General features: G+C 40.8%; 2 protein-coding genes across 3 annotated transcripts in view, besides 1 other annotated feature; both read left to right on the top strand.

The window, feature by feature from the left end:
• CHURC1-FNTB (CHURC1-FNTB readthrough) overlaps positions 1 to 12,531 on the top strand; it is a 148,295-nt gene that overhangs the window by 75,572 nt on the left and 60,192 nt on the right. The window lies entirely within an intron of this gene.
• Positions 1 to 12,531, top strand: part of FNTB (farnesyltransferase, CAAX box, subunit beta) — a 75,756-nt gene that overhangs the window by 3,038 nt on the left and 60,187 nt on the right. The window lies entirely within an intron of this gene.
• Positions 596 to 715: an enhancer, noted in NCBI's record as "active region_8540". NCBI's record gives its function as "activates an Ori minimal core promoter by ATAC-STARR-seq in GM12878 lymphoblastoid cells {active_cell/tissue: GM12878}" and the evidence as "EXISTENCE:reporter gene assay evidence [ECO:0000049][PMID:35858748]".

Raw genomic sequence — 12,531 nt, forward strand, 5'->3', positions numbered from 1 at the left:
GGGGTGGGAGCAGGGGAGGTCTTCATATAAGGTGTTAAGGGGAACCCTCTGGTGACAACACATGTGATCTGAGACCTGAAGTCTCAGATGAGGGAGGAAGCCATCATGGATCTGGTGCAAGAGTATTCTGGGCAGAGAAAGCAGCAAGCACAAAGGACCAAGGCAGCAGAATGCCAGGTGAGCAGGGGGCTTAGCAAACCAGAGAGTAGGAGATGGGTCGGATCATGTAGGGTCTCATTGGCCTTTGGAAGTACTTTAAAATACCCTGACTGAGATGGAGAGCCACTTGGCTGTATACCTGCCATTTACTGCCCCAGATTCACTTGGCCCTTTTCTAGCCTGCTCTGTAGATGTGCCCCAGGAGGGGGCCCTGCACTGACAGGTTGCCTTGCTTTATGGCTGCGGGCCATGGGAAGTATTGCTGGGGGTGACCGAGAAGGAGAAGAATGAGACCACTGTATTTCTTCCCTCCTGCAGGCTTGTGTGGGGTGGGGTTTCCTTAGACTTAAGGTCACATTTCCTGTCATGTGCCTTCTCTGCGGAGCTCTTTGTCTCCCTCCCTCTCCATCCTTCACACCTTCAGGTCTATGAGGAGTTCAGGTACCCCTGATTTACCAGCTCCAGATACTGCATTTTCTCTTGTGGTTTCCCTACACCTGCCCACATCTTTGTAAATAGTTCCTTTATAAACTCTCCTCAAATCACCCACTTTGTGCCATCTGTTTCCTGCCAGGACTTAGACTGATCCATGATCAGAGAGTTTTGAGCAGGGGAGTGACACAGTCTGACTAGCATTTTAACAGGCTCATTTAGGTTACTGTCAAGAGTAGATGGTGGGGAGTGAGGGTGGATACAGGGAAACCAGTTAGGAGGCTATTGCAGTATCCTGGGAGAGAGGTGACGGTGGCTTAGCTCACAGTGACGGTAGTGGAGGTAATGAGAAATGGTCAGCTCTGGATATTTTTATGAAGGTCTCTACCTTGCTAAGCTGTTTTGTTAATGCAGATGCAGGGAGGGCCTTTCATGACACTAGAGAACAAGACATGGTTGTATTGTTAGTGCCTGCCTTCCTTATTGTGCCATCTGGAATCATCCCATTGCAGACACTCTGATTCAGGCCAGTAGGTTAATACTGATAGTCTCAGAGGTAGCAGCCTTGCCAAAAACAGGTGTTTACAAAAGATACTACTGTTTTTCTTTGAGTTTGTCTTTGAACAGAGGCAAACGCGTCCTCCACTTTAAATGGCATGGTGTCATTGAACCATTGGCATGGTTCATTGTCAATGAAGTGACTTGAACTCTGAGGGGAATATAAGAGAATTATTAGTCTTGATCCCTGCCCTCAAAATTCTTTTATCTTAGAGAGATAAAAAAGAATATGCTGTAAGGCCGAGTGCGGTGGCTCACTCCTGTAATCCCAGCACTTTGGGAGGCTGAGGCTGGCGGATCACTGGAGGTCAGGAGTTTGAGACCAGCCTAGCCAACATGGTGAAACCTCATCTCTACTAAAAAAATACAAAAATTAGCTAGGCGTGGTGGTGTGCACCTGTAATACCAGCTACTCAGGACACTGAGGCAGGTGAATCTCTTTAACCTGGGAGGCGGAGGTTGCAGTGAGCCGAGATTGCACCATTGCACTCAAGCCTGGGTGACAGAGCAAGACTCCATCTCAAAAAAGAAAAAAATAAGAAGAATATGCTATAGGCAGTCACAGAGTGCTAAATTATAACTGCTTTGCACGAGGATTTTGGGGAGTTGAAAAGCCATCTGTGTGGGCTGAGGTGGTCAGGATGACTTCATGGAGAACGTGGAACTGGGTGGGCTGTAAAAAATAGAGTTTGGGGCAGCCATTCAAGGAGGGAGAGCTGTTTTGAGGGAAGACTCAGGCTTGACTGGGGGCGTTAAGATGGCTTACCAGGAACGGAGGGTGCAGGTTGGATGTGGTAGGAAATGAGGTGAGCTGGGCGGGTGGGCCCCTATCAGGGTATTAAGAGGCAGGTGATGTGCTGGCTTCAGGTTCGGGCAGTGGGCCACCACATATCCTAAGGAGGGACCAGCGGAACAGAATCCTGACCTGCTGTTGACTTATTTCAGCTTATAGGATCCAAAATATTAGTAAATGGAGGTGGAACAAATCACTAAATATGATAAAACTTCCCAACTTTTTATGCCTCTGATAGAAGGGACTGGAGCTCTGCTTGGTTAGGTGGTCAGTAGGCTAGCTTTCTGAATCCATTTTATTTTATTGAAATTCAGCATATACCATATTGCCCAAGTGTAAAGTAATCCTGCATATCAAAATTTCCCCATTAAAAAGTCCAAAAGGTTGTTTTTGGTCAAGTTGAAAATACATGTACTTTTAGGTATATAAGTGAAAAATACCTGCTTACAAAATTTACATTTAAATTTGGGTCCATATACCTACTTAAAATCACCTACTTTATAAAGTAACACTAATTTAGAAATGCTGGTTTTCCTCCTCTTCTTATTTATAAAATGTTTCTTTTCAGACTCTTCACATGCATCTTTGACTTCACTATTTTTATCATCACTGGAGCCACTTTTTGAGTCAGCCAATGTGGATTTCCGGACCACATGTTCAGTTCTTGAGATACATCGTTTTTGAATATGAATAAGGTGTTACCACTGAACAGTTTATTCCAAGTTACAAGTATCCACTTGCATAACATTAGACTTTTTTTTTAAGAAAGGGTCTCACTTTGTCGCCCAGGCTGGAGTGCGGTGATGCAATCACCACTCACTGTAGCCTTGACCTCACAGGCCTGCCTTGGCCTACCAAAGTGTTGGGATTACAGACGTGAGCCTAGAATTTTTTTTTTGCAGTGTTTCCAGTTGGTATATATTTGTGGTCACTGCAACTTAACCACTTTATTACTTTTTCAAATGATTTCTATTTTTTTTTAAAGACAGGGTCTCACTCTGTTTCCCAGGCTGGAGTGCAGTGGCATGATCATGGCTCACTGTAGCAACTTTCCAGGCTCAAGTGATCCTTCCACCTCAGCCTCTTGACTAGCTGGAACTACTGGCGTGCGCTACCATGTTCGGCTACTTTTTATATTTTTTTGTAGAGACAGGGTTTCCCTGTGTTGCCCAGGCTGGTCCCGAACTCGAGCTATCCGCCCACCTTGGACTCCCAAAGTACAGGCATGAGCCACCGCGCCCAGCTAAAATGATCTTTAAAACGTTGGTCTACTGGCCAGGCATGGTGACTGATGCCTGTAATCCTGGCACTTTGGAAGGCCAAGTGGGTGGATAGCTTGAGCCCACAAATTCGAGACAGCCTGGGCAACAGGGTGAGACTCCATCTCTAAAAAAAGTAAAAAATGAATAAACAAAATAAAAAGCTGGCCTTACAATGGCAGTTTACACATGGAAGTGTGAGTTTATATCTCCAGGGATAATTACTAAATTTGTGTTTAATTTATCTTGTTTCACTGATTACCATTAGCCAAAGCAGCCTTAACTGAGGTTGTTTTAGGGTATTGTGTCATCCCCAGCTGGTACTTTGTATTCAAAATAAGGAAATTGCAAAACTTCCTACAGCAAGAGGTACTTTGTAAGTATTTGAATATAAAGTGACTTGTATTTTCTGAGAGAGAATTTTTTTTGAAAAGTCTTGCCTTATATTTCATATATTAAATGACTCTTCTACTGCAGCTTCAATGACATGAATCTTAGGCAGCAAATCTACTTTCTGAAACATTCTGTCTCTGGGAGAGGAGGGAGATATAGGAAGCAGAGAAGTGATAGTGCCTGGTATGAAAGTTGGTGCCTCATGAGATTGGCTTTAGATAGAAGCTGTGAAAGAGAAAGTGCCAAATGCATTAGTTGTTGTTTACCACTTACTGAATGGAAACTATTCTCTGCTTTTATTGATTGGATTTCTTTTTTTTTTTCTTTTTTTATTTTTATTTTTTTTGAGACAGAGTTTCGCTCTTGTCGCCCAGGCTGGAGTGCAGTGGTGCGATCTCCACTCACCGTAACCTCCGCCTCCTGGGTTCAAGCGATTCTCCTGCCTCAGGCTCCCAAGTACCTGGGATTACAGGCATGTGCTACCACACCCGGCTAATTTTTGTATTTTAGTAGAGGTGGGGTTTTACCATGTTGACCAGGCTGGTCTCAAACTCCTGACCTCAAATGATCCACCCGCTTCCACCTCCCAAAGTGCTGGGATTACAGGCGTGAGGTACCATGCCTGGCCTAGTGATTGGATTTCTATTGATTAAATGAAAAACTCCATGAAATACCTTTTAAACAGAGCTGTCCAGAATGCAGGCATTTGGTTAGCTCTTCATTTATTTATTGCCATGGCACCTAAGTGTTGGGGACCCTAGTACAGTTACTTGATCCCTGGCCCCTAGAGTCTAACACAATCTCTCCATTACTGAACAATACAAACTAATATACATATAGTTATGTATCACTTAACAGTAGAAATACATTGTCAGTAGGAAATTTCCTTGTCATGTGAACATCATAGAGTGTACTTAACACAAATGTAGATGGCATAGCCTACTACACACCTAGGCTATATGGTATAGCTTGTTGCTCCTAGGCTACAGGCTACAAACCTACACAGTATGTTACTGTACTAAATACTGCAGGCAATTGGAACACAATGGTAAATATTTTTGTATCTAAACATATGTAAATATAGAAAAGGTAAAGTAAAAATATGTTATAAAAGATAAAAAATGATAGACCTATCTAGGGAACTTAGCATGAATGGAGCTTGTGGGCCTGGAAGTTGCTCTGGGTGAGTGAGTGAATGAGTGGTGAATGAATGTGAAGCCCTAGGATATGAGTGTACACTACTGTAGACTTTATAAACACTGTACACTTGTTACTGAGCAGACATTATGAAAAATAAAAATAAACACGGTATGCTTAAGCTACACTAAATTTATTCATACGCTTTTTTCTTTCAATAATAAATTAAACCTAGCTTACTGTAAATTATTTACTTCATGAACTTAAAAAATTTTTTTACAGCTTTTTGACCCTTTTGTAATAACAGTTTAAAACACAAGCACATTGTACTGCTGTACAAAAATATTTTCTGTATATTTTTATTCTGTAAGCTGTTTTCTACTTTAAATTTTTTAACTTTCTTTTTACCTTTTAAACTTCTTTGTTAAAAACCAAGACACAAACGCACACATTAGCCTGGACCTAGACAGGGTCAGGATCATCAGTGTCACTGCCTTCCATCTCCACATTTCATCCCACTGGAAGGCCTTCGGGGACAGTGATAGGCATGGAGCTGTCATCTCCTAGGATAACAGTGCGTTCTTCAGGAATTCCTCCTGAAGGACCTGCCTCAAGCTGTTTTATAGTTAATTTTTTAAATAAGTAGAGTTACACTCTAAAATAATAATATATAGTATAGTAAACATGTGAATTAGTAATGTAGTTGTTTATTATCATTATCAAGTGTTATGTACTGTACATAATTGTATGTGTTATACTTTTATAACACTGACAGTGCAGTAGGTTTATTTACACCAGCATCACCACAGGCATGTGAGTAATGCTTTGTGCTACAACATCATGAAAGCTGTGTTACTAGGCTGTAGGGATTTTTCAGCTCCATCATAGTCTTAACGGGACTGCCGTGGAATATGGGGTACGTTCTTGACCAAAACATCCTTATGTGGCACATTACTATATTAGTTTATATCATATATGTGTGTATAGTTTATAAGTTGATACATACTTAGTTTATATTATATATTTTAAAGATATATGTGTATATTATATATGTATATATTTTATATATATACATGTGTGCATATAAGTGTATGTATGTATATGTACGTATGTATGTATGTATGTATGTATAAAGCCTGACCAGCAAACTTGAAAACATTCTGTACACAGAAACACCTAGCCTGGGGCTGGGTGCAATGGCTCATATCTGTAATCTCTGCACTTTGGGAGGCTGAGGCACGCGAATCTCCTGAGGTTGAGACCAGCCTGGCCAACTTGGTCAAACCCTATCTCTACTAAAAATACAAAAATTAGCCAGGCCTGGTGGCAGGCACCTGTAGTCCCAGCTACTCAGGAGGCTGAGGCAGGAGAATCGCTTGAACCTGAGAGGTGGAGGTTGCAGTGAGCTGAGATCATGCTATTGCACTCCAGCCTGCATGACAAGAGCAAAACTCTGTCTCAAAAAAAAAAAAAAAAAGAAAAAAGAAAAGAAACAACCAAGCCTGGGCTGGGCACCGTGGCTCATGCCCGTGATCCCAGCACTTTGGGAGGCTGAGGCAGGAGGACTGCTTGAAGCCAGGAATTTGAGACCAGCCTGTGCAACATGGTGAGGCCCATCTCTATTATAAGAAAGAAAGAAAGACAGAGAGGGGAGAGAAAGTAAGAAAGAAAAGAAAAGAAACATCTAGCCTGTGCCCTGTCAGGAGCAGGGGTAAACTCAACTCTTGGGTTCCCTTTTTGCCATATCGTGAGTGATCAGTTGCCTCATGATTAGAGAAGGTGAGAGAGGTACTGTTAGGCTTAACATTTGTTAGGTTATACATTAAATAATGGGAGAGCTGGCCTTGGAACCTAACAGTTAGGTATAACATTGTGTTGATGGGAAAACAAATAAGGTCTAAAAACCAATGAACTTTGAGAACACAGCTTCTGCGTATGTTGTGGCCTGCCTATCTAAGTAGGTGTAGGGGATGAGGTATCACAAAACTAAGCACTTTGAAATCCTTTTCCTTTATTTTTCTAAGAAATTTATGGTTAACAAAAGTATAATAATGTAATTAAGAGCCATTTTTCTATAACTGAGAATTAACATTTGCTAACATCTTTTTTTTTTTTTTTTTTTTTGCTTCTGGTTATTTGTTTAAAGGAAAAGCAATTAGAAATATAGCCAAAGCCTCCTTTAACCCTATCCCCAGTTCAGTGTGCCTGCCACCCTTCCCAGAAGCAGCCCTTATCATAAGTTGTGTGTGCATCCTTCCACTTCACTTTTAATCCTTTTATGCATTCATAAACAACTGGATTTGTGTTTTTAAAAATTCACATAAATTGTCACACTGTCATTTTGCCTTTTTTCATTTCACAGTAAAAAAAAAAATAGAAACAGAGTCTTGCTTGATCAGTTGGAGTCTTGTCAGATTTCTCTGATGGTCGTAATTTTGGAAAGACAATCTCCCTTTAGAATTGTGAGAGGGTCCTGAATTCTGCTAAGATGTAGGTGTAAAGGATAACCAGCGATTATTCCGGAGGTCACAAGATTTAGAGCTTTCTCAATTACTCCTGTAGATAACATCCCAATTGCAGAACCTAAGATTGGCTGTTTGAGATGTCTTTTCAGATTTTTGCATTTCTGACTGGCTGACTCCACACAGACAGGTCCTGTGGCCCCACCCACAGGCTGACTCAGTGCCGGAGGACCATCTTCCTTCCACATCCCTATGATTTCATCCCCAACCAGTCAACATTCCCATTCCCTAACCCCCTGCCCACCAAACTATCCTTGAAAAACCTCCAAACCTTTGGGAAAATTGATTTGAGTAATAACTCTGTCTCCAGTGTGGTGTTGCCAGCTGCATGTCAGTTAAAGTCATTCTTTATTGCAAGGCTGTGGTCTTAGTGAATTGATTGTGTCTGTGCAGCAAGCTGGAAGAACCCGTTGGGCGGTTACAAAATGAGTAAATCTCAAAGAGGTGGCATAGACTTCAGGTTTAACTACAGTGTTCAACTGAAACAAAGAAGGATGTTGGGGAGGCCCGGAATGGGGAGGTGACCGGGAAAAGCACAGTAAACAAGGATAAGGTTTGTTATGCAGGTTTAGGCAGGTGCCTTCTCCATTGGTAAGAGTTCCTAGTGGCTTAGAGTCATCCTTGTCTCCCTGGTACAGAAAGAGAGGCAAATGGAGATTTCCTTTTATAGATGTAATTTTCCCTTACAAATGAGGTAACTTCTACTCTGTTTTCAGAGCTTTTCCTTTGTCTGCTGTTTCTCAAAATAATCAGCTCAAAGTAATCCTTATGCCAAAGAAGCCTATCGTGGGAAGACATATTCTGGTCTCCTACAGTCATGTTTTGAGGTGGCATATTCTGGTCTCCTGCACATTCAAAATGTTAGGTTATTTAGAGAATTTTTGTTTGTTAAACATTTAAAAGGTTTGTTATCTTTGTTTATCCTTTACTAGTTGAGAAGAAAAGTACGTTACTGTTTTTAAATTATGAATGAAGAAAGTACTATTTGAGGTAAAACTTTGCGCATCAACCTCTGAGCTGAAATTTAGTGACTATTGCCACTACTAAAAATCTTGTTTTATCAAACCTTCAACCTAAATTAACAGACAGAGGCTCTCTAAAAGAACATGACACTTATTTGGGAATAGTGTATTGCAGTGGGAATCTTTGTGCCACAGTAAACTATGTGCATATTCAAGGAGGTAAAGGAAGACAAAGGTTTTTCAAGGAATAATGAGGATTATATAATTCTTTTAAGATAATTATTATTGGCTACAAGGATCAGTAACAAGTGTGACCAGTCTGAGATTGGACAGGCAATTGCTGGACAGATGTCCTTGTGGAGATATTTTTTGTGTAAGGTTGTGATGACCTTTGTGCAGGATTGTGGTTTTTGCAGAGTCATTTGGGATAGTTTTTGTTAATCAGGCATTGATGCATGAGAACCCTCTCTTCATAGCTGTCCCTGGCTTTATTTGTCAGGATTTTTAAACACAAGTGACTCCATTTTGATTTTGACAGTGTTCACAAATGTTAGCATTGCATCAGAATCCACTGGAGGACTTGTTAAAAGAAGTTGGGTGGACCCCACCAGCTAAGTGAATCTATAGGTCTATACTGAGAATACCTGAGAATTTACATTTCAAACAAGTTTAGCTTAGTTTCTGGAGAACCTGTTTCTTGAGTAAGAGGAATGGTTTCTATGACTCATAGCAGCATTATTCATAATAGCCAAAAAATGGAAACAGCCAAATTGTCCACCAGCTGATAAACTGCTAAACGAAATGTGATAGATCTACACAGTGGAATATTATTTGGTGAAATAATATGAATAAAAAGAAAAGGAGTACTGGTACATGCTACAGCATAGATGAGCTTTGAAAACATTATGTTTGTGAAAGAAGCCAGCCACAAAAGACCACAGCTTTTATGATTCCATTTATATACAATTCCAAACAGGTAAATTTATAGAGATAGAAAGTAAATTAGTGGACCAGGCATGGTGGCTCATGCCTGTAATCCCAGCACTTTGGGAGGCCAAGGCTTATGGATCACTTGAGGTCAGGAGTTTGAGACTAACCTGGCCAGCATGGCGAAACCCATCTCTACTAAAAATACAAAAAATTAGCCAGGCATGGTGGTGGGTGCCTGTAATCCCAGCTACTTAGCAGGCTGAGGCAGGAGAATCGTTTGAACCTGGGAGGCAGAGGTTGCAATGAGCCAAGATCGCAGCACTGCACTCAAGCCTGGGCAACAGAGTGAGACTCCATCTCAAAAACAAAGAAAGTAAATTAGTGGTTAGCAGTGGGGAGAATGATAAACTGGATTTGATGCTTAAGAGGTGGGGGGTTACTTTTCAGGGGAGTGAAATGTTCTAAAATTGATTGTGATGGATGCACAAATCTATGAATATGCTAGAAGTCATTGATTTGTGCAGTTTAAATGAGTGAGTTGAATGGTATATGAATTATATCTCAATAAAGCTGTTAAAAAAATACACCAGTTCTTAGTTCTCCATGGGACCTGTTAAGAAAAAAAAGAGAAATATACCAGAATATACTAGTTCTTAAAAGAAAATTATTCATTGTTATGAACAGCTGACCTGTAATACACAGATAGTCATCAGAATTCATAACTTGACTTTTCAGATATGAGTTAGTTACTAACTGCATTGGAAAATCACTTGTTCATTCTGAAGAAATGATTAGGAACTCCAAAGAGAAGGACACTATGTTGGGAAAATTTTAAGCATTTTCCACCTTGTGGTATGACATATTTCCATGTTTTTGTCAGGTGTCTTAGCTTAGAAATAAACCTCCATTTTTCTTGCGTTGTACTTGGCTGCTTTCCCGCAAGAAAGCTGAAGATGGGACTTCTGATTAAGGAGTTCCTGGCTGGGAGCTTTCCTTCCTAGACATCTAAGTGCCAGAATGCCAAGGGGAAGATGGGTTCATGCATTAGCCTTTGAATATTATTAAGTCGTATGGATTTGAATAGGCTTGTACTGGGGTAAAGGAAGTGAATTTTCTTCCCACTTGATTTTGTGTCATTCAGAATTCATTAACTCACTTAGATAAAACAGTACAGTTGGTCTTCCATATCCGTGGGTTCTGCATCTGTGGATTCAGCCAACCACAGATCAAAAATATTTGGAAAAAAGATTGTGTCTGTACTGAATAAGTACAGACTTATTTTCTTGTTATTATGTCAATCTAAAAGGAAGAAGCTCAGGCAAAGTTAATGTAAGTAGAGAGTTTATTTGGGCCAAGCTTGAAGATTGCAACCCAAGAGCATAGATTCAAGTTGCCCTGAATATACACTCTAATTAGCAGCAGTTACAAGTAGGTTTTTAAAGGACAAGAATAGTTACCCAGGGCCAGGTGAGGTGGCTCACGCCCGTAATCCCAGCACTTTGGGAGGCTGAGACCGGCAGATCACGAGGTCAGGAGATCGAGACCATCCTGGCTAACATGGTGAAACCCCTTCTCTACTAAAAATAGAAAAAATTAGCTGGGAGTGGTGGCACACTCCTGTAGTCCCAGCTACTCGGGAGGCTGAGGCAGAAGAATCACTTGAACCCAGGAGGTGGAGGTTGCAGTGAGCTGAGATCGCACCACTGCCCTCCAGCCTGGCAGAGCCAGACTCCGTCTCAAAAAAAAAAAAAAAAAAAAAAAAAAGAATAGTTACCCAAAAAGCTGGCTGAAAGAAAAGCAAAAGAAAAGAAGAGGCGATTCCTAAATTGTTTACCAAGACTCTACACTAAAATTACATAAGGTATACATTATTCTTTGTATCACAAATTCCAGGAACATGAAGATAATGGATGAGGCAGCTAGGGAGGAATGAAATGCCTTTAAACAACTGCCCCCGGACATGGGTGTTGGGAGCATAAATGAAGTCCTATACTTGGTCTCTCTGGGCCTGATAAATTTTGCATACCTCACATAACTCAGACTGCTCTGAGCTATTTTTCTTTTCTCGATTGCAGTTACATTGTACTAGGAGGTATTATAAGTAATCTAGAGATGATTTAAAATACAGGCGTGCACTATATAACAATCAACAGACTACATATACCACAGTGGTCTGGAAAGATTATAGTACTGTATTTTCACTCTACCTTTTCTGTGTTTAGATACTTTTAGATATACAAAGGCTTACTATTGTGTTACATTTGCCTACAGTATTCAGTACAGTAATATGCTGTACAGGTCTGTGGCCCAGGAGCAGTAGGCCACACTATACAGCCTATGCGTGTGGTAGGCTATACCACCCAGGTTGGTGTGAGTATACTCTGATGTTCCCACCATGATGAAATCACCTAAGAAGGCGTCTCTCAGAATGTATCCCTGTAGTTAAGCTACTCGTGATTATATGGGAGGGTTGTATAGGTTTTGTGTAAATACTCCAGCATTTTATATCAAGGACTTGAGCATCCACAGATTTTGATATCCTGGGAGATCCTGGAACCAATCCCGCATGGATACTGAGGGATGATGGTATATCATAGGCAAATCTTTATTTAATGATCTTACCAATTTCTTATATATTTTTCTATCCCATTCAGCTTATACGCATGACTGAGAAATGCAGTCTGTGTTTCATTTAGGCTGGTGCTTTATTTTAGCTGCATGAGTGTCAGGAATGGAAAAAGAATTATGATTCTGGGACAACTTTCTTATTCCTCCCAAGTCGGATTCTCATGGTGACGTCAGTCTGTTTTTTGAAGTATTATAACCTTTTAAACAGATCATCCTTCAAATTCATGTTCAAAAGCAAATATCAAAGCGTATTCTAAAACCAGATGTAAATTAATTTTAGATTGGCTGCCATCGTAGATGATTCATATCACTGCTCCCCTCATCATCACAGATAATTCTTTCATGCTTCTCAAAGGGACTAGGAGCTCTACCTCAATGGGTATTTCGGAAATAAATGACTCAATTTTGAAGTTTCCCAGGGAGATTTTTATGTATCTTGAAATCTCAAAAAAAAACATGTCTCACTACAAAGATTAGGAATGCCAAGGAAGGTGAACGCCAATCCTGTTAACCAGACGCTCCCTCATTACTATACCTTGTATACAGGAGCTCTCCCATGAGACCACATTGTGTCCACAACCATTGCCTGATGCACTCAGCAAGTCAATACACCAAGGGGTTGGCTGGGCGTGGTGGCTCACGCCTGTAATCCCAGCACTTTGGGAGGCCGAGGCAGGTAGATCACCTGAGGTCAGGAGTTCGAGACCAGCCTGGCCAACATGGTGAAACCTCATCTCTACTAAAACTACAAAAATTAG

This window comes from Homo sapiens, chromosome 14, assembly GCF_000001405.40.
Source record: "Homo sapiens chromosome 14, GRCh38.p14 Primary Assembly".
NCBI lineage: Eukaryota > Metazoa > Chordata > Mammalia > Primates > Hominidae > Homo > Homo sapiens.